Genomic DNA, 22,037 nt, shown 5'->3' with positions numbered 1-22,037 from the left:
TGTCCTCAGACTAAAACCCTAACCCTGATCTTCCCAATCAAAAATCATACTCAAGGATGGGCGTGGCAGCTCACGCCTGTCATCTCAGCACTTTGGGAGGCCAAGGCAGGTGGGTCACCTGAGGTCAGGAGTTCCAGACCAGCCAGGCCAACATGGTGAAACCCCATCTCTATTAAAAATACAAAACTTAGCCAGGCACAGTGGTGGGTGTCTGTAGTCACAGCACTTTGGGAGGCTGAGGCATGAAAATCACTTGAATCCAGGAGGCATAAGTTGCAGTGATCCATGATCATGCCACTGCACTCCAGCCTGGGCAAGAGAGTGAGACTCTGTCTCAAAAAAAAAAAAAAAAAAAATTGTGCTTAATAATAACTTGGAAGTGCACATATCTTCTGTGAAGTTTGATGGACAACAATTAGCTTCAAAACACAAATAAGTAACTGTGTTTAAATGAGGCCTTCTGTGTAATAGCTAGGGAAAATCAATGTAGCTATTCATATTTTGATTCCCCTTCCAGGCACAGAGAAGTTGTCCATGTCTCTGTGATCTGTTTTGTCCAATGAACCATGAGCAAGAGCAACTTGAGTCACCTCCAGGTGGAAGTGTTAAGAGGCTGTGTGATCCACCACATTCCCTTTCCCCTGAAGTGGAGATCAAGGACACATGCAGAGATGGGGCTTTTGTCAGCCTGGATCCCTGAGTGAACACAATGAACAGAACACTCCACAATGCCCTAACACAGCCCAGACATGCAACGTGACCAAGAATAAGCCTCACTGTGGCCAGGCATGGTGGCTCATGCCTGTCATCCCAGCACTTTGGGAGGCCAAGGCGGGTGGATCATTTGAGGTCAGGAGTTCAAGATCAGCCTGGCTAACATGGTGATATCCTGTCTCTACTAAAGTACAAAAATTAGCGAGACAGTAGTGGCACAGGCCTGTAATCCCAGCTACTCAGGAGGCAGGAGAATCGCTTGAGTCTGGGAGGCAGAGGTTGCAGTGAGCTGAGGTTGCACCATTGCACTCTAGTCTGGGTGACAGAGTGAGACCCTGTCTCAAAAAACAAACAAACAAACAAACAAATACCTCACTGCATGGATCCACTGAGATTTGGGGATTGTTGTTACTGCACCAGAACCCAAATCATCCTGACCGCTAGACTGTCCTAACTAGGGTTTCTTACCAAAAGCAAAGGCATTTTTAAAGTTCATGACATTTAAACAAAAGAGCAAATACCAATATCTGCCACTTTGTCAGGCTAACAAACCCAAAGAAAGCCAACAGCCAGAAGTTAAAAGAAACAGATCATTAGGTTGAAAACAGAACTGTCAAAACAGGCACAATTGACTTCATTTAGTGATTGCAAAGAACATCAGGCAAGACACAGGTGTGGTCATCATATCATTTATCACATGCTTAATTGCACATGTTTGACTAAGAAAAACACAAAGTATTTAAACTCATCTGTAGTTCAAAGTGCCTATCCATGTATTTATCCATTCATCCGGATTTATTTATTGAGCAACTCTTTTGTGCCAGGCACTGTGCTGGGTGGTGGTAATGCAATGATGAAGATGGCAGACACAGCTCTGCCCTCCAGGAGTTTCTAGGGTATGGAGGGAGACAAAAAATAAGTAAATCCATGAAAGAACTATTGATGGAACCTGCCCCCAATATTTCAACATAGGTTCTTTCTATTTTCCTTAAGTGTCAGCCAGCTGAGAAATAAAGAGAGACACTACAAAGAGAGGAATTTTACAGCTGGGCCGCTGAGGGTGACACTACATATCAGTAAGTCCGTGATGCCTGCTGAGTCTCAGACCAGCAAGTTTTTATTAAGGGTTTCAAAATGGGAGGGGCTGTAAGAACAGGGAGTAGGTACAAAGATCATATGCTTCAAAGGGCAAAAAGCAGAACTACTACTAAGGGTCTAAGAAAGATCACATGCTTCTGAGGGAACAGGACAAAGGGCAAAAGCAGAACTACTGATAAAGGTCCAGCAAAGATCACAAAGCAAAGGGCAAATGCAGAACCACCAATAAGGGTCTATGTTCAGTGGTGCATGTATTGTCTTAATAAACATCTTAAACAACAGAAAACAGGGTTTGAGAGCAGAGAACCAGTCTGACCACAAATTTACCAGGGCAGAGTTTTTCCCCACCCTAGTAAGCCTTTGGGTACTGCAGGAGACCAGGGCGTATCTCAGTCCTTATCTCAACTGCATAAGACAGACATTCCCAGAGCAGCCATTGATAGACCTCCCCCCAGGAATGCATTCCTTTCCCAGGGTATTAATATTAATATTCCTTGCTAGGAAAAGAATTTAGCAATGTCTGTCCTACTTGCACGTCCATTTATAGACTCCATGCAAGAAGAAACATATGGCTCTTTTTGCCCAACCCTGCAGGAAGTTAGACCTTATGGTTGTCTTCCCTTGTTCCCTAAAAATTGCTGTTATTCTCTTCTTTTTCAAGGTGCACTGATTTCATATTGTTGAAACACACGTTTTACAATCAATTTGTACAGTTAACACAATTATCACAGTGGTCCTGAGGTGATGTACATCCTCAGCTTATGAATATAACAGGATTAAGAGATTAAAATAAAGACAGGCATAAGAAAGTATAAAAGTATTATTTGGGAACTGATAAATATCCACGAAATCTTCACAATTTATGTTCCTCTGCCATGGCTTCAGCCAGTCCCTCCATTTGGGGTCCCTGAGTTCCCGCAACAAGAAATAATGAGGTTAAGGTGGAGAAGAGCAGGGAAGTCCACTTTATAAAGGGGTCAGGAAAGAGCTGTCTGGAAGCATCATTTTAGCTGAGACCTAAAGGATGGTCTAATTTGGGGAGGTGCAGAGGAAAATCATTCCAGGCTGAAGCAGCAAGTGCAAAGGCCCTGTCGTGGAGAGAGGTTTGAAAATCGAAGAAAACAAAAGGAGGCCAGAGTGGCTGAAATAGAGTAGGCCAAGGGGAGGAGATAGGAGAGAGCTGGAGAGGTGGCAGGAACAGGCAGAAGACTCTATGTGCCATGGGCAGGAAAGGCAGGGATGAGACTCAATGGACACCTTAAGATCACTGAAGCTGCTAGGTAGGAAATGGATTGCTGAGCATGGAGAGCAGGTGCAGAGGACCAGTTAAGACCAGTTAGGAGGCTGCTGCTGTAGCCCAGCTGGGATAGCAGTGTCCTAGGCAAAGATAATGACAGTTAAGATAGAGAGAGTGGACAAGTTGGATAAAGTTTAGAATCACAGGACTTCTGACTGGAGAAGAGGGCAAAAGCAGAGTTACCACAACACATGAGTTATGACCACCTTGAGCAGCTCAGCAGGGGATGGTGCCATTTACAGAACAGAGATGGCATGGACAGAGCCCATGGAGAAGGAGGAGGAAAAAGAGTTTTGCTTTTGTTTTTTTTTTTAAGACAGGGACTCTGGCTCTGTCACCCAGGCTGGAGTGCATTGGTGCAATCATAGCTCTTTGCAGCCTCAAACTCCTGGGCTCAAGTGATCCTCCTGCCTCAGCCTGCCATGTAACAGGACTACAGATCCTACAGATGCACTTTACCATGCCTAGCCTTTTTTTTTTTTTTTTTTTTTTTGGAGATAGGGAGTCTCACTGTGTTTTCCAGGCTGGCTTCAAACTCCTGACGTCAAGTAATCCTCCCACCTCAGCCTCCCATAGCACTGGGATTACAGCCATCACCTACCACTCCAAGCCATGAGTTTGGCTTTGGATTTAACAAGGTTGAGTTGTTCATGAGTTGACAAGTGGAAAAAACAAGAAAGAAGTTGAGTGTTTAAGACTGCTGTTTGAAGGAGAAGTCTAGCCTCAAGACAAAAGTTCAGGACTCATCAGCTGAGAAATGGCACTGAAAATTATGCAAATGGATGAGCTCAGCTAGCAAACAAGTCCAGAGAGAGCAGAAAGTCCAGAGAGAGCAGCACTGGGCTATGCACCTGGCCTAATGCTTCCCCGCTCCTCCCAATCCCTGTGTTATGCTGGAGAGGGTTCAGCCTCTGGTGAGTTTCACCAAACCGCCACATCTCTTTCTTCTGAGACCTTCTCTAAAATCCCCTCTTTTATACTTAGTGAAATGGGATTCTCTTTTTCCCATCCAGCTTAAGCAAAAACTTTTGACTATGAGAAGAATGAGGATGCATTTAGTATCTGTTCTGCATGGCTAATTCCATCAAAGATTTCTCATTATTCATGCCTGGCAGTCTCATTTTCTTCTTTTGCCTCTAAGAGCACAGTCGTAGCCTTAATTACTGACCTTTTCACCCTTCTAATACCAGCGATTTCCCCCATCTCAGTTCTCAGGAATTTCTGTTCGCAGAATTATCTCCTGAATCCTCACCTGGAGATAGAAAGTGATCTCTGTGGCCATTTCTTCCCCCTCTAATTCTTATCAAAAAACTCAGTGATCTCTGTGCATCAAATATTAAACTCAAGCTTAACAGATCATGATTCTGGCTTGTCTCTCTCTCCGGCCTGTGGGTTAACAGGTTTGCAACCTTTGCAGAGAAGACACCAAATTCTCAGGAGGCCAGAGTTTCCAAGGGTACTGGTCACTCTTGCTCTCTTTCTCCTGCTCAAAATTCAGCACTAGACTGTGTTACACCATTGCACCTGCAGAGGAGTTCATCTGACTCTAGGGACTACAGAGGAAAGAGATGGACAAACAAACAGGCATTCAGAAAATGACTACCACAATGGGGAAGAAAATGAAAGTCAAACCAAATAATCAATGGTCAAAAAAAAAAAAAAAAATCTAGAGGCCAGCTGCAGTGGCTCACACCTGTAATCCCAGAACTTTGGAGGCTGAGGCAGGTGGATCACTTGAGATCAGGAGTTCGAGACCAGCCTGGGCAACATAGTGAAATCACATCTCTACTAAAAATACAAAAAAATTAGCCAGATGTGGTGGCGGGCACCTGTAATCCCAGCATTTTGGGAGGCTAAGGTGGGTGGATCACCTGATGTCAGGAGTTTGAGACCAGCCTGGCCAACATGGTGAAAGCCTATTTCTATTAAAAAATAGAAAAATTAGCCAGGTGTGGTGGCAGGTGCCTGTAATCCCAGCTACTTGGGAGGCTGAGGCAGGAGAATTGCTTGAACCCAGGAGGCAGAGGTTGTGGTGAGCAAAGATTGCACCACTGCACTCCAGCCTGAGCAACAGTGAGACTTTGTCTCAAAAAAAAAAAAAAAAAAAAAACCAACCTAGAGATGTCCATCCAGGCTAAAGAGAATATTCCAGAGCAGAGGTTGGGACACTATGGCCCATGGTCCAAATCTGACCTGCCTGCACATGTTTTTGTCAATAAAGTTTTATTGAAACACAGCCATGACCATTTGCTACATATTGTCTATGGCTGCTGGATTAGGTTGTTCTCTCATGCTATAAAGAAATACCTGAGACTGGGTAATGTATAAAGAAAAGAGTTTTAATTGGCTCACAGTTTTGTAGGCTGTACAGGGAGCATGACACTGACATCTGCTGAGCTTCTGTGGAGGCCTCAGGAAACTTACAATGATGGCAGAAGGTGAAGTGGGAGCAAGAGAGTAAGGAGGGAGGTGCTACACACTCGTAAACAACCAGATCTTGCAAGAACTCACTCACTATTGCAAGGACAGGACCAAAGGGATGATGGTAAATCATTCATGAGAAATCCACCCCCATGATCCAATCTCTTCCCACCAGGCCCCACCTCTAACACTGGGGATTACATTGCAACATGAGATTTGGGCGGGGACACATATTCAACCTATATCAGCTGCTTTCATGCTATGGGTGGCAGAGTTGATTAACTGCTACAAGAGACTGTATGGCCCACGAATTCTAAAATATTTACTATCTGATGCTTTGAAGTAAAAGCTTGCAAACCCTGCTTTTGAAAAGGAAGGGAAGGAAGAGGAGAGGAGGAAGGCAGGAAGGAGCAGAGAGGGACACGAGGCTGTATTCAAACATCTGTTGTTAAGAAAGATAAATTCAATTTATTTGGCATGGTCCAAGTTATCAAACTAGGAGCACTCCATCGAAGTTTCAGAACAAACACTGTGCTGAATATAAGGATAACCCCATCTGTAATGCCTAACCTTGTTTTTATTAACTTTGTTCTTAGACTTTCCTTTTCTTTTAATCACTTAGCCTTGTTTCTACCTGAATTGACTTTCTTTTAGCTAAGAGAGCTAGACAGACTTTATCTTGGCTTTTTCACTGGCAGCCCCTTCCTCAAGGACTTAACTTGTGCAAGCTGACTCTTAGCACCTCTAAGAGTGCAATTAACTGATAAGATACTGTGGCGAGCAATATCCGCAGTTCCTAGGAATTTGTCCGATTGATAATGCCTAAAGCCCCACGTCTATCACTTTGTAATAGTCTTAAAGCCCTTGACCTAGAACTGTTTACTTTCCTGTAACAATTTATCCTTTTAACTTTTTTGCCGACTTTACTTCTGTAAAATTCTTTTAACTAGACCCCTTTCCCCTTTCTAAACTGAAGTATAAAAGAAAATCTAGCCCCTTCTTCGGGGCCAAGAGAACTTTAAGTTAGCCATCTCTTGGCTGCCAGCTAAATAAACAGACTTAATTCATGTCAAAGTGTGGCATTTTCTCTAACTCGCTCAAGTACAACATTTGGAGGCCCGAGCGAGAAACGCCACCAGGCGAGAGCCGGGCTCGCTCCGGGCTCCCCCGGAAGGACAGCCGGCTTGTAGGGGGGGTGCCACCTGAAAAATAATTTTCAGGTCCCCAAAAGGTGACCGTCTTCCAGAGGAGAGCGGATCGACTACCGTGTGGATGCCCACAAAAATTCCACCTCTGAGTCCTCAACTTCTGACCCCGAGGTCAGGTAGGTCAGATTTGATTTCAGTTCTAGTAAGAGGGAAGCGGCCCTGATGAGGGCATCCCTCTTTTGACTCTGCCCGTTTCTCTAGGACGCTAGAAGGTAGAGCCCTGTTTTTCTGTTAGGCACCTCTGTGTCTCTTTCTAGGAGGGAAGTGGCCCTGACAGGGGCCCTCTCTTGACTCAGTCCACATCCCAGGATGCTGGAGGACTGAGTCCTGGTTTCTGGCAGACCGATCACTCTCTCTCTCTCTCTCTCTTTTTCTATCTCTCATCTTTCTCTTGTTCCAGTTTCTTGAAGAATCTCCAAGAAAGAAAAAAAAACTGTTATAAACTCTTTGTGAATAATGAATGAATGAGGGAGGACAAGGGCTTGCGCTTGTCCTCCAGTTTGTAGCTCCACGGCGAAAGCTACGGAGTTCAAGTAGACCCTCACCTGCGGTTCCTTGGCGACCTCATAAGGCTTAAGGCAGCATCAGGCATAGCTCGATCTGAGCCGGAAGTTTATACCGGCCTGCCAATGCTAAGAGGAGCCCAAGTCCCCTCAGGGGGAGCGGCCAGGCAGGCATCTGACTGATCCCATCACAGGAACCACTCCCCTTGTCTGTCTAAAAAAAAAAAAAAAAAAAAAGGAAGAAACTGTCATAACTGTTTACATGCTGTAAAGTCAATTGTTTGCCTTATGTTGATTGTTCTGTTCAGTTTCTATTGTCTTGTTAGTAGTTGTGAAAGTTTTGCATGTCAGGACGGTGATATTGCCCAAGACGTCTAAGTAAAAACTTCTTCAAAGTCCTTAGTGCTGATTTTTTGTCACAGGAGGTTAAATTTCTCATCAATCATTTAGGCTGGCCACCACAGTCCTGTCTTTTCTGCCAGAACCAAGTCAAGTGTTGTTACAAGAACAAGTGTGAAAAACATTTTCCTGATTAAGATTTCTAGCACCATGAAAGTTCTAAGTATTTAGATCGTCATACTCCACGTCCAAGTGATTAGACCTCCTCTAAACTAAACCAGTAGTGAGTTCAAAACAGCCACCCTGCAGATTTCCTTGCTCACCTCTTTTATCATTCTGTAACTTTTCCTGTGTCCTTAAGTAGAACACTGTGTAAAGAAACGTACACCCGTACTGCTTTACTTTGTTTAGATTCTTACTCTGTTCCTCTGTGGCTACTCTCCCACCTTAAAAATGATCCGAGTAGTCCTTTTCCACCTCGTCCCTGTCCCCTACCCCGCACATCTCGTTTTCTGGTGCGACAGCAAGTTCAGCGTCTCTAGGACTTGGCTCTGCTCTCACTCCTTAAACCCTTAAAAGAAAAAGCTAAGTTTAAGCTATTTGCCTTTAAGTCATAAAGACACCAAAAGTACTTAAAGTGCAGATCTAGAAGAAGAAGAAGAAGAACGCCTAGATCAAACTGACCCAGAAGATCTCAGGCTGGCTCTAGTCCTCCTCCCTCAATCTTAAAGCTACAGTAATGTAGCAAGTAGTATTAGCTGTTGTAGTTTTTCTGCTCTTTCTAGTCATGTTGCTTCTGTTCTTTCACTACTCTAGTCCCCCAAGAAATAAGTTTCTCTGTCCATGCTAAGTCTATGCTCAAATCTTATTAAATTGCCTTCAAAAAAAAAATAAGAAACACTTCCTCCCAGCCTTATAAAGTTAAAGCCCTCTCCAATGTATGCTGCAGAATTTTCCTCTCAGTTCCTCAGAGGATTATAAAGTCCGCCTTAAAAAAGGCAAGCTCCAGACACTGTGCAAAATAAAATGGCCAAAGTTTAAAGTCAAGTGGCCCCCTGAAGGGTCATTGAACCTCACAATTGTTCAAGCTGTGTGGCAGGTTGTTACTGAAACTCCTAGCCACCCTGATCAGTTTCCCTACATTGATCAATAGCTAAGATTAGTCAGGATCCCCCCTCCATGGCTCCATTCATGCGCCATTCATAATTCTACCTCCAAGGTCCTCCTAAGCCAGACCGCGTTTTCGCCTCCACCCTCAGCCGGTTCAGCTTCCCCTGTACTGCCTCCCTCTGAAGAAGGGGGGAGTCTCCCTCACCCAGTCCCACCGCCTTACAACCAGCCTGCTCCCTTAAAGTTATCCCATGTCTCCTCGACGACGTCCCCTGTAGGCTCGCCACCCATTGCCTCTCAATCATGACCGTGGCAGGCAGGAAGAAGTAGCCCCTCTACTACCACTGAGAGAGGAACAAGTCCCTCCAGGTGACGAGCGCTCAGCACCCTTCTTAGTTTGTGTCCCTTTTTCTGCTTCTGACTTATATAATTAGAAAACTTATAATCCTCCCTTCTCTGAAAAGCCCCAGGCTTTGACCTCTCTGACAGAGTCTGTACTCCGGACTCACTCACCCACCTAAGATGATTGCCAACAGCTCCTTTTAACCCTTTTCACCTCTGAAAAGAAAGAACGTATCTGAAAAGAAGCCAAAAAGTACTTCCTCACATCAGCCAGTGGACCGGAAGGAGAAGCTAGAGACCTCCTTGAGGAGGTCTTTCCCTCTACCCAGCCTAACTGGGACCCAAATTCCTCAAGTAGAAAGGGAGCTTTAGACGATTTTCACCGGTATCTCCTCGCAAGTATTAAAAGAGCCGCTCAGAAACCCATAAACTTGTCTAAGACGACCGAAGTTGTCCAAAGGCCCGATAAGTCACCAAGAACGTTTTTAGAGCGCCTCCAGGAGGCTTATCAGACTTACACCCCTTTTGACCCGGCAGCTCCCGAAAATAGCCGTGCTCTTAATTTAGCATTTGTGGCTCAGGCAGCCCCGGATATTAAAAAGAAACTCCAAAAACTAGAAAGCTTTGCTAGAATAAATATCAGTCAGCTTTCAGAAATAGCCCAAAAAGTTTTTGACCATCAAAAGTTTAAAAAACAAAAACAAGCAACACAGGCAGCTGAAAAGGCTGCTGATAAAGCATTCAAAAGACAAACAAAAATCTTAGTGGCAGCTATCCAAGAAGTACAGAATGAAATATCCCGTTAATTTAGCATTAACTGAAGCCCCTGCTTTAGCCCTCCCCAATGTCTCCATAAAAGCCAAAGAGTTGCTAAAGACGTGCCTTACTCAGACTCTAATACCCTAAAGATGCCCAGTGGTCTATCTAAGAGGCTAGATCCTGTGGCCTGTAGATGGCCAAGTTGTCTGCGAGCCTTAGCGGCTATAGCAAGCCTGGCCCAAGAAGATGATAAGTTAACTCTAAGCCAAAATTTAACCCTTACAGCTCTTCATGCCATAAAGACCTTACTACAAAATGCTTCTGGCAAATAGATGTCAAATGCTCGCATCTTGCAGTATCAAAGTTTACTGTTAGATCAGCCTCGTTTGACTTTCTCTCCCTCAAAGTGTTTCAATCCAGCTACACTACTTCCTGACTCAGACTGCACTATTCCTGCTCATGACTGTCAAGAACTGTTAGAAACTATCAAAACTGGCTGCTCTGATCTTCAAGATGTGCCCCTAGAAGAGGCAGATGCCTCCGTGTTCACAGACAGTAGCAGCTTCCTCAAGCAGGAAGTATGAAAAGCCAGTGCAGCTGTTACCACGGAGACAGATGTGTTGTAAGCTCAAGCTTTACCAGCGAACACCTCCGCACAAAAGGCTGAATTGATCGCCCTCACTCAGGCTCTCCAATAAAGTAGAAAAAACGTATTAACATTTACAGTGACAGCAAGTACACCTTTGCTACTGTGCATGTACGTAAAGCCATCTACCAGGAAAGCAAGCTACTCACCTCAGCAGGTAGCTGTGATCCACTGCAAAGGACATCAAAAAGAAAACACAGCCATTGCCCACAGTAAACAGAAAGCTGATTCAGCAGCTCAGGTCGCAGCGAGACTTTCAGTCACGCCTCTAAACTTGCTGCCCACAGTCTCCTTTCCACAGCCAGATCTGCCTGACAATCCCGTATACTCAACAACAAAAAAACTGGCTTCAGATCTCAGAGCCAATAAAAATCAGGAAAGTTAGTAGATTCTTCCTGACTCTGGAATCTTCATACCCTGAACTCTTAAAGAAACTTTAATCAGTTACCTACAGTCTACCACCCATTTAAGAAGAGCAAAGCTACCTCAGCTCCTCCGGAGCCATTTTAAGATCCCCCATCTTCAAAGCCTAACAGATTAAGCAGCTCTCCAGTGCACAACCTGCGCCCACATAAATGCCAAACAAAGTCCTAAACCCAGCCCAGGCCACTGTCTCTGAAAAAACTCACCAAGAAAAAAGAAATTGACTTTACAGAAGTAAAACCACACCAGACTAAGTACAAATACCTTCTAGTACTAGTAGACACCTTCTCCAGATAGACTAAGGCATTTTCTACCAAAAACGAAACCACCAACACAGTAGTTAAGTTTTTACTCAATGAAATCATCCCTCAATATAGGCTGTCTGCTGCCATAAAGTCTGATAATAGAGCAGCCTTCACCTCGCCTATAGCTCAGTCAGTCAGTAAGGCATTAAACATTCAACAGAAGCTCCATTGTGCCTATCAACCCCAAAGCTTCAGGCAAGTAGGAAGCATGAACTACACCCTAAAAAACACTCCTACAAAATTAATCTTAAAAAAATAGTGTAAATTAAGTAAGTCTCCTTCCTTTAGCCCTACTTAAAGTAAGGTGCACCCTTACCCGGCAAATTTCTCACCTTTTGAAATCATGTATAAGAAGGCACCGCCTATCTTGCCTAAGCTAAGAAATGCCAAATTAGCAGAAATATCGCAAACTAATTTGTTGCAGTACCTATAGTCTCTCCAACAGGTACAAGATATCATCCTGCCACTTGTTCGAGGAGCCCATCCCAATCCAATTCCTGACCAAAGTCCTGCCATTCGTTCCAGCCAGGAGACCTAGTGTTTGTTTAAAAGTTCCAAAAAGAAAGACTCGCTCCTGCTTAGAAAAGACCTCACACCGTCATCCTCATGACGCCAATGGCTCTGAAAGTAGACAGCCTTCCTGCTTAGATTCATCACTCCCGCATCAAAAAGGCCAACAGAGCCCAGCTAAAAACATAAGTCCCCAGGCCTAAGTCAGGCCCTTAAAACTGCACCTAAGTCAGGTGAAGCCATTAGATTCATTCTTTTTACTACCTCACTTATTTGTTTTTGCCCGTAACATCCTCTGTGCCTTCCTACTCCTTTCTCCTCACCTCTTTCACAACAGGACATGTATTTGCAAACACCACTTAGAAGGCCAGTACCTCCAAGGAAGTCTCCTTTGCAGTTGATTTATTTGTACTATTCCCAAAGCCAGCCCATACCCACGAAAAGCAACACAATCTGTCGGTCCCAGGAGCAGGAAGTGTCGACCTTGCAGCAAGATTCAGACACTCCAAGAGCCAAACTAAGTGTGGGAGCTCCAAAAGTGCAGAAAAAAGACTCCAAAATATTGGCTTTTACCTCTGTCCTAGAAATCACCCTGATGTTAGCTGTCAAGATACTTATCAGTTTTCCTGCCCTGATTAGACATATGTAACTTTAGCCACCTACTCTAAAAGATCAACCAGATCTTCAACTCTTTCCACAAGTCGTGCTTCTCATCCTAAATTATGTACTAGAAAAATTGTAATCCTCTTACTATAGCTGTCCATGACCTTAATTCAACTCAATAGTATCATGGCATGTCATGAAGATTAAGATTTTATATCCCAGGATTTAATGTTAAGACTATGTTCACCATCCAAAAAAACCCTAGTCTCATAAAGCCCACCCAAGCCAATCAGGCCTTTAACTGATCTAAGTAACCCTATGTTCCAGAAACACCCTGACAAAGTTGATTTAACTGTTCCTCCACCATTCTTAGTCATAAAAGATACACTCCAGAAAGGGCAAGAAAATCTAGATAAGAGCCAACAAGAACAAGAAAATAACATCCCCTAGTATCAAAGCATGTTCAACTAGAACCCAGAGCTAACTATTCTAATTACTAAGTTAGCCAGACCCCCTCCCCATCCTACTATTAAGTCTAATTTTTGGACCTTGTATATTAAATTAGTTTATTAATTTTGTAAAACAACACGTAGCTTCTGTCAAACTTATGTATCTTAAGACTCAATATAACCCCCTTGTTATAACTGAAGAATCAACAATTTGATTCCCCAAAAACACGAGTGAGGAATGTAATGCCCAACCTTGTTTTTACTAACCCTGTTCTTAGACTCTCCCTTTCTTTTAATCACCTAGCCTTATTTCCACCTGAATTGACTCTCCCTTAGCTAAGAGAGCCAGACAGACTCCATCTTGGCTCTTTCACTGGCAGCCCCTTCCTCAAGGACTTAACTAGTGCAAGCTGACTCCCAGCACATCTAAGAATGCAATTAACTGATAAGATACTGTGGCGAGCAGTATCCGCAGTTCCCAGGAATTCCTCCAATTGATAACGCCCAAAGCCCCGCGTCTATCACCTTGTAATAGTCTTAAAGCCCCTAGACCTAGAACTGTTTACTTTCCTGTAACAATTTATCCTTTTAACTTTTTTGCCTACTTCTGTACAATTGTTTTAACTAGACCCCCCTCCCCTTTCTAAACCAAAGTATAAGAGAAAATCTAGCCCCTTCTTTGAGGCCGAGAGAACTTTAAACGTTAGCCATTTCCTGGCCGCCGGCTAAATAAACAGACTCTTAATTCATCTCAAAGTGTGGCATTTTCTCTAACTCGCTCAAGTACAACACATCCAGCAGGCACGAAATCCACTCTAAAATGCTGTCCTGGGATAGTGAAGATGATGTTGCTGGAAATATCCTTACATGGCATGTGGATGAGTTCCCCCAGAGGCATACATGTTGAGCTAAATACTTTGCTGATGAAGGGTACAAGTTGAAGGGGTTTTGAACGGCAGAGTGAGGTTCCTCAGAAGGCTGTTGCTACAGAAAGACAGGAGGAGAAATTACATGGCCAGATAGAGTGGCATGACCATTGGATAAGGACTTTTTGTTTGTTTTTCAGATGGAGTTTTACTCTTGTTGCCCAGGCTGGAATGCAATAGCACGATCTCAGCTCACCGCAACCTACTCCCAGGTTCAAGCGATTCTCCTGCCTCAGCCTCCCTAGTAGCTGGGATTACAGGCATGTGCCACCATGCCCGGCTAATTGTGTATTTTTTGTAGAGATGGGCTTTCTCCATGTTGGTCAGGCTGGTCTTGAACTCCCGACCTCAGGTGAACTGCCCGCCTTGGCCCCCCAAATTGCTGGGATTACAGGCGTGAGTCACCGTGCCCAGCCTGGATGAGGGTCTTTAGCAAAGATGGAAGTTTTGGTACCTTGCAGTTTAGTCTCTTCATTTATGTCCTCCTGAAATCTTCAGGAATAGCACTATTTTGTCAATACTTCTGGGGTCGTACTTAGGGGGACTTAAAGGAGATGTGATGTGGCAGCCTTTGACTCAAGGGAGCATCATACTAGCTCAAAGAGATCTGGGTACATGCCAGTTGAACCAACTCTTCTGAGGATGTGATAGATCCTGGGAGGCCACTCTGATCCCGCCAACCTTGAGGCCAGATGAGTCTTTGAAAAACATGGTTTGGCTTAACACCAGCACTTAGTGGTGTTAATACCCACCATGAATCTTGCTAAACTGAAGCTATACAGATACCTTTTCAAAAGATTTTTTTTCATTCCAGATCCTTCTTAGAAATTCCTAAGGCTCAATGCTGTGTGGAAGGTTCTGAGAAAGAAAATAGTTTCCGATCTTTGGGATTCCCGAGATGGTCCAATCTGCAAAAAGTTCATTGCCATTTCCATCAAGGACACTGAGAACAAGAGTCTTATCTGGATTGGATGCTGGGAATTGAGAAGCTTCAGCAGGTGGGAAATGCACCCTCCACAGGCTCACACCCTTGTGGGCTGTTTCAGTTACCTATTGCACCTAAAATTAGAAACTTTAAACCACAACAAGCCATTATTGCTCATGAACCTGTGAGTTGTATGGGGACTTCCTGGCTGGTTTAACCTGGGCTCATTTGTGTGGCTACCTGCAGCTGGAGGGCCAGCTGGGCGGAACATCCAGGATGGCCTCATGCACGTGCCTGGCAGTTGGTGCTGGTTGTCAGCCGGGGAAACTTGTTTTCCTCCATGTGGCCCCTCGCCCTCCAGAGCCCCTCTCCAAATGGCCCTTTAAGCAGGATAGCCAAGGTTTGCTTGGTGCCAGCATCCAAGAGGGCAAAAATATGGAAACTACGAGAGGGCTCTCAAGGCCTAAGACTATTTGCACCCCAAAAATCTGAGGTCTCAGTTAATTCAGAAAGTTTGTTTTGCCAAGGTTGAGGACGCATGCCTGTGACACAGCCTCAGGAGGTCCTGACAACATGTGCTTAAGGTGGTAGGGACACAGCTTGGTTTGACACATTTTAGAGAGACATGAGACATCAATCAATATGTGTAAGATGTACATTGGTTCAGTCTGGAAAGGCGGGACAACTCCAGGTGAAGGTGAAGGTGAGACAAGGGGAAGGGGCTTCCAGGTCATAGGTAGTTAAGAGACAAATAGTTGCATTCTTTTGAGTTCCTGATTAGCCTCTCCAAATGAGGCAATCAGATATATATTTATCTCAGTGAACAAAGGGGTGACTGAATAGAATGGGAGGCAGGTTTCCCCTAAGCAGTTCCCAGCTTGACTTTTCTCTTTAGCTTAGTAACTTTTTTTTGGGTGGAGGGACAGAGTCTCGCTCTGTTGCCCAGGCTGGAGTGCAGTGGTACGATCTCGACTCACTGCAACCTCCAACTCCAGGGTTCAAGCAATTTCCCTGCCTCAGCCTCCCAAGTAGCTGGGATTACAGGCACCTGCCACCACGCCTGGCTAATTTTCATATTTTTTAGTAGAGACGGGGTTTTGTCATGTTGGCCAGGCTGGTCTTGAACTCCTAACCTCAGGTGATCTGCCCGCCTCAGCTTCCCAAAGTGCTGGGATTACAGGCGTGAGCCACCGAGCCCAGCCTAGCTTAGTGATCTTGGGGCCCCAAGCTTTATTTTCCTTTCACGGCTAGAAGTTGGTCACCATCACTTTGGCAGCATTCCACTGGCCAAAGCAAGTCATAGGCAGCCCAGATTCATGTAGAGGAGTATAAACTCTACCTCTTAAAGGAAAGATTGGTTCAATTACACTGCACGAGCATTTGCAGAAAGTTGTACCCATCTTTGGAAACTACCACACACACACACACACTTTACATGCAACCCTCCCTTGAGGTGCATCTACTTCCAGGCAGAACCAAAACTTGAAAGTACTCGACAGAAGAAAAGTAGTGTCCTAAATGCCAGTTCTCTTCTTACTCAACTTCAGCCTCATTATAAGCAGATTCTAACAGTTTATGTGTCTTAAGAAACATTTTAATTAATCTTTGGAATTTAAGAATTTCAATTCATAGCAGTAGCCTGTGCATAGGAAATACGCATATTGTAAATTTTTCCTTTCTGATAAATCATGCTGGGGGAACCACAATGTAACTTTTTTTTTTTTTTGAGAAGGAGTCTCACTCTGTTGCCCAGGCTGGAGGGCAGGGGCATGATCTCAGCTCACTGCAACCTCCGCCTCCCTGGTTCAAGTGATTCTCCTGCCTCCACCTCCTGAGTAGCTGGGATTACAGGCGCACAAGACGGGGTTTCACCATGTTGGTCAGGTTGGTCTCGAACTCCTGATCTCTGCTCTGCCCACCTCAGCCTCCCAAAGTTCTGGGATTATAGGCGTGAGCCGCCGGCTCACGTATACTGTGACTGTATATTGAAAGTTTCTCTTTTTTTCAAATAATTAACAGGTTTAACAGAATGTATCTCCTGATCTATTCTTTTCACTGCAGACATCTATTGCCTTTTCAGCCTAGCAGCCCTCCCCTCTATAGAGACTCACACTTCCTACTCCACTCATGTGGCTCTCATGGGGGCTGCCATGTTCTCAAATGACTCCACCCCTCTGGCCTCAGTTGATTGGTCCAGGGATGAGCATCTGGCCTAAATTGGCCAATCAGAATTCTTCCCTTGAATATTTTTCCAAACTGGAACTAGACCAAGTTAATCATTCTCTGTGATGACAGGAATTGTGTGTAGTGAGAAATACAGGAGCTTTTGTGGCCACGTTTCTCGCCTTATGGAGAAAAGGCTTGAGTAAGAAGAAATTAAGCCAGTATGCAGACAAAGCTAGAGACAGAGATAGAGAGAGAGATCTTGTGGTAAGCCCCTTGGTTTTTATCATTCTAGTACATGCTTGCTACTGCATACAACCAAGACTTTCACCTGAGGGCTTTCTCAAAGTCAGGCATGGAGTATGTCAGAAAAGCCACAGAAGCCAGGCGCAGTGGCTCACTCCTGTAATCCCAACACTGGGAGGCCGAGGCAGGTGGATCACGAAGTCAGGAGTTCGAGACCATCCTGACCAACATGGCAAAACCCCGTCTCTACAAAAAATTAAAAAATTAGCGGGGCATGGTGGCAGGCACCTGTAATCCCAGCTACTCAGGAATCCGAAGCAAGAGAATCGTTTGAACCTGGGAGGCAGATGTTGCAGTGAGCTGAGATCATGCCATTGCAGTCCAGCCTGGGTGACAGAGCAAGACTATGTCTCAAAAAAAAAAAAAAAAGAAAAGAAAAAAGCAAAGCCAGAGAGTTGATGCCCTGGGACCAGTCCTCAGCAAGTGATGGATGGGAGCCAGGCTATAAATGCTTCAATATCTTTGCCCCCTGGATGGAACAACTTTGAAATGTATTCCACATCACCTCCCAGAGGTCCCCAGTGGGGTCAAATCCTAGTTGCCTGGAGTGGTAAGCTGCTCATTGAAGCCCCCTGTGTGGCCTCCTGCCTTTCCATGAATCAATTCCTCACTCCCCTATTGGTGTTCCCTGGAATCATCTCCTAAATAATCCACTTGCAATCCTGTCCCTCTTTCAGGATCTGCTTGGGGTTGGGGTTGGGGAGTGCAGAGAAAAACATGATCCCTTTTCCACTCCACACTAGTAAGATGAGTTTCTGTCACTGGCAACCAAGAGTTCTGACTCTTACCTCCTGAGATAATTCCTAAAATGTATTTGGGAATTTCCCCACCTCCACCCCACTGCCTATGTCATCAATATGTAGATTTCTTAACAAAGTTTAATGGTATTCTTTGATCAACCTCAAGTTTCACAAAACACACTGCACTTTCATAAGGGCTCCCCATGGCTGACAGATCAGCCATTCAAAAGAAGGGAAGTGTCAGAGATGGCTCTGCTAGACTCATGTATTTTTCAGTAGAATCTGGGTCAGGATGTTGTGGTCAGGAGATGCTTCTGGAGCTCTGGGACCCATAAGCCTGAGTGTCATGGTGGAGTATTAGGACAACTTGAAAACATAGTGGCAGGAGGAGGCTTCCTCTCTCCCCTGCAGTTCATCCTCCACCACACCCAATGCGCTCAATAGATATTGGTTAAATGAATAATGGGGCCGGGCATGGTGGCTCACGCCTGTAATCCCAGCACTTTGGGAGGCTGAGGCAGGTGGATCACCTGAGGTCAGGAGTTCAAGACCAGCCTGGCCATAGAGGCAGGGGAAGCACTTGCACCTGGGAGGCAGAGTTTACAGCATGCTGAGATGGCACCACTGCACTCCAGCCTGGGTGACAGAGCAAGACTCAAAAAAAAAAAAAAATGGATTTATTCCTTCCAAACTGCAACTCACCAAAAGAAGACCAACACGCATCACAATGTTGTGGCCATAATCACCACAGTGACAATAATAAATATAATCAACTGTCAAGCCAGCCACCTCCACTAAACCCAGTGGATCACATCTGGTGTTTCACTTTGGGGATATTTTAGTGGTCATGATAGATTGTTGCCTGACTGCTGGCTGTTTCTACCATGTTTCAGGAATATAGAGATGTGTACAGATGACCCCTAAAATTAATTAGTATGCAATTCTCAAAGAGCCGAACTGTACCCCAAAAGCTACTGGAATGAAAAAAAAAGTTTTAATTCTCAAAGAGACAAACTAGATAGTAGAAGCATTTATGTTCCCTTGGAGAATCTTCCCACCAAGGACTCAAAGTTGTCTCCAGACCAGGGAATGCCTGGGGCCTTGGACTTTCCCAATTCTGGTATCATCTCCCATTCTCCTTTAGGTCCAGTTTTCTCAGAGGGGCATGCATTGTTCATTGCCACCAAGGGTATCCAAGGACACAAACTGAAGATAATAGTGCCTTATTGTCTCTCAGTCATCTTTCTCTCCCACATGCCGGAAGGAGAGCCAAGTCCAATTTATCCAATTACAAAATAGCAACATTGGCATCATGAGATCAGCTAACAAAACTTTCAGAGGCAATCTATCTTCCTACCAAAAGTAACCAACATCTGTGGAGCACTTACCATGGCTAAGGGTCAACATAAGTGGTTTGCATGCTGCATGCATCAGGATGGACTAGGTTATGCTGCGGTAACAAATTAACGCCAGAGTCTCAGCAGCTTAGCAACCAAGGTTGATTTCTTACATTCCATGTCCACAATGGGTTGGCTGGGTATGATGTGCTCCATATGGCCACTCAAAGTCCTAGAATGATGGAAATTCTACCATCTTAATGCAAGGATTCTCCCATAGTTACTGCACCAGGAGATGAGAGAATGAGATAGTTATTCCCAAGCCCTCAAAAGCTGTAGACTAGAGGTGATGTCAGTGACTTCCACTTATAGAGCATTGGACCCTGGCATGGATCCATCTAACTACAGGGTGTCTGGGGAATACGGGGAACACCTGGAAATCCCATGAGCAGTAACCATTCCTGCCAGCATGCATTATTTCATCTGAACCTCACAACCCCATGGAATATAGAACAGAGGCTTGGAGAGTTATGGGACCTGCCCCAAGGCGTCATAGATAATGAGTTTCAGAGCTGAGATATGACCCTCGGCCTGGCAGGATTCAAACCACTATGCTGCATACTCATTATAAAATTCTATGAAATTCCTCATACAGCAAAACACCACACCAAGTAAAAAGAAAGCCAAGTTGTGCAAATACAAAATAGAACTCCCCTGACACTTCACCTCCTCACCCACCCCACCCCCACCGAAAGAATCAACCTACGCAAATAACTGGAATGAAATTCTCAGGCAATTTCAGCATGGGAAATGGGGTTATCTCATCTGGGTCTCACATCCGACCTCGTCAAGACAAGACCTTCCCTAAACTTCACCTGAACACCTGGACACATCGTCATGTCTTGCCGCTTCTTGTTACTGGAAATCCAATGATGATGTCTTTATACAATTTATAGGTCTTTCTATAAGTGCCAAGATAAATGTCATCTCTGTACCTGCATATCATTCAGAGGTAGGCAAGCTTCTATGTAAAGTGCTAGACAGTAAATATTATAAACTTTGCAGGACTCATCTGATCTCCATCCTATATATTTTTTTGTTTTTGTTTTTGTTTTACAATTTTTTTTCTTTTTAGATAGGGTCTAAAAAGAAAATAAAACTTATCCATGTTGTGATATGGATGAACGTTAAAAACATGCTCAGTGAAAGAAGCAGACATGAAAGGTCATATATTGTACAATTCCATTTATATGCAATGTTCAGACTAAGCCAATCGACAGAGATAGAAAGTAGATGAGAGGTTTCCAGGGGCTACAGGAGGGGATATGCAGAGTGACTGCTGAATGGATATGAGGCTTCCAATTGAGGTGTTGAAAAAGCCCTGAAACTAGGTAGTGGTGATAATTGCACAACATGATAAATGTACAAAATGTCACTGAATTGTACACTTTCAGATACACAGAATGGTAAATGTTGCATATATTATACCACAATTTTATCCATTTATTTGAGAGATAGAGTCTCACTCCGTCACCCAGGCTGCAGTGCAATGGCACAATCATAGCTCACTGCTGCCTTTACCGCCTGGGCTCAAGCAATCCTCATACCTAGTCTTCCAAGTAGCTGGGACTACATGTGAACCCTACCACACCCAGCTTTTTAAATTTTTTCATAGAGTTGCATTCTCGCAATATTGCCCAGACTGGCCCAAACTCCTGGCTTCAACTGATTCTCTCATCTCAGCCTCCCAAAGTGCTGGGATAACAGGTGTAAGCCATCAGGCCAGGCAATTTTTAATTCTTATGCAAAATTTTCAACTAATTCCTAGGATTAAAAAAAATGTCAATCAACATGAGGATTAGAGGAAAAAATAATTTTAAACAAGAGAAAAAATTAAATGAGATGATGTACACGTATACAGTGCCTGGTCTCATGATCACTGAGTCCACTGCAGCTTTTTATTTTTTTTTCCATACAGGGTCTCACTCTGTCACCCAGGCTGAGTACAGTGGCATAATCATGGCTTACTGCAGCCTCAACCTCCTGGGCACAAGTGATCCTCTCACCTCAGCCTCTCAAGTAGCTGGGACTACAGATGCACACAACCACACCTAGCTATTTTTGTTGTTGTTGTTGTATTTTTTGGTAGTGGCAGGGTCTCACCATGTTGCCCAGGCTGGCATCTTGAACTCCTGGACTCAAGCGATCCTCCCACCTCAGCTTCCCAAAGTGCTGGGATTACAGGTGTGAGCCACCATGCCCATCCTGTTGTAGCTATTTTAATAGTGCTGGTGAACAATAATTTGCTCTCCCTATAAAAACAGAACATACTAAGCCAAGGAAAGCACCAATCCAGTTTGTTCTCCTCAGATCTTCAAAATGTTGGAATTAGTATAAGAGTCCAAAATATTTCATGTGGTTTGATTTTTTTTTTTTTTTTTTTTTGGAGATGAAGTCTCGTTCCATCGTCCAGGTTGGAATGCAGTGGCGCAATCTCGGCTCACTGCAACCTCTGCCTCCCGGATTCAAGCAATTCTCCTGCCTCAGCCTCCCGAGTAGCTGGGATTACAGACATGTACTGCCACGCCTGGCTAATTTTTGCATTTTTAGTAGAGATGTGGTTTCTCCATGTTAGCCAGGCTGGTCTTGAACTCCTGACCTCAAATGATATACACACCTTGGCCTCCCAAAGTGCCAGGATTACAGGTGTAAGCCACCATGCCCGGCCAGTTTGATTTTTTATTGTGGTAAAATACACACAAAATCTATTATTTTAGCCATTTTCAAAGGAAAAATTCAGTGATGTTAAGTGCATCCACCACATTGTACAGCCATGTCCCCCATCCATCTCCAGAACGCTTTCATCCTGTCCTGCAAATATGCAGCACCTTGCTACACTCCAGTTTGTTTGTT

The 22,037-nt window shown here is 44.3% G+C and overlaps 3 long non-coding RNA genes across 4 annotated transcripts in view, besides 1 other annotated feature; 1 reads left to right on the top strand and 2 right to left on the bottom strand.

The window, feature by feature from the left end:
• The window catches only part of LOC107986133 (uncharacterized), a 38,839-nt gene that overhangs the window by 15,129 nt on the left and 1,673 nt on the right, over positions 1-22,037 (top strand). The window contains exon 2 of the long non-coding RNA XR_001740907.2: positions 14,468-14,651. This is a non-coding gene — a long non-coding RNA (uncharacterized LOC107986133). The remainder of the gene's footprint in view (positions 1-14,467; positions 14,652-22,037) is intronic.
• Positions 1,388-10,668, bottom strand: LOC124906285 (uncharacterized). Of its 2 annotated transcripts, none has more exons than XR_007096082.1 (3): positions 9,208-10,668; positions 7,284-7,455; positions 1,388-1,605 (listed from the first exon to the last, which is right to left on the bottom strand). It is a non-coding gene; the product is annotated as an uncharacterized LOC124906285 (long non-coding RNA). The 2 variants fall into 2 exon arrangements; XR_007096081.1 differs by having other exon boundaries at positions 10,587-10,668.
• Positions 4,201-5,584, bottom strand: LOC124906287 (uncharacterized). The gene is made up of 2 exons (XR_007096084.1): positions 5,462-5,584; positions 4,201-4,361 (listed from the first exon to the last, which is right to left on the bottom strand). It is a non-coding gene; the product is annotated as an uncharacterized LOC124906287 (long non-coding RNA).
• Positions 14,605-14,664: an enhancer, noted in NCBI's record as "active region_20522". NCBI's record gives its function as "activates an Ori minimal core promoter by ATAC-STARR-seq in GM12878 lymphoblastoid cells {active_cell/tissue: GM12878}" and the evidence as "EXISTENCE:reporter gene assay evidence [ECO:0000049][PMID:35858748]".

Source organism: Homo sapiens, chromosome 3, assembly GCF_000001405.40.
Source record: "Homo sapiens chromosome 3, GRCh38.p14 Primary Assembly".
Classification (NCBI taxonomy): domain Eukaryota; kingdom Metazoa; phylum Chordata; class Mammalia; order Primates; family Hominidae; genus Homo; species Homo sapiens.
This window is presented reverse-complemented; position numbering and strand designations above follow the sequence as displayed.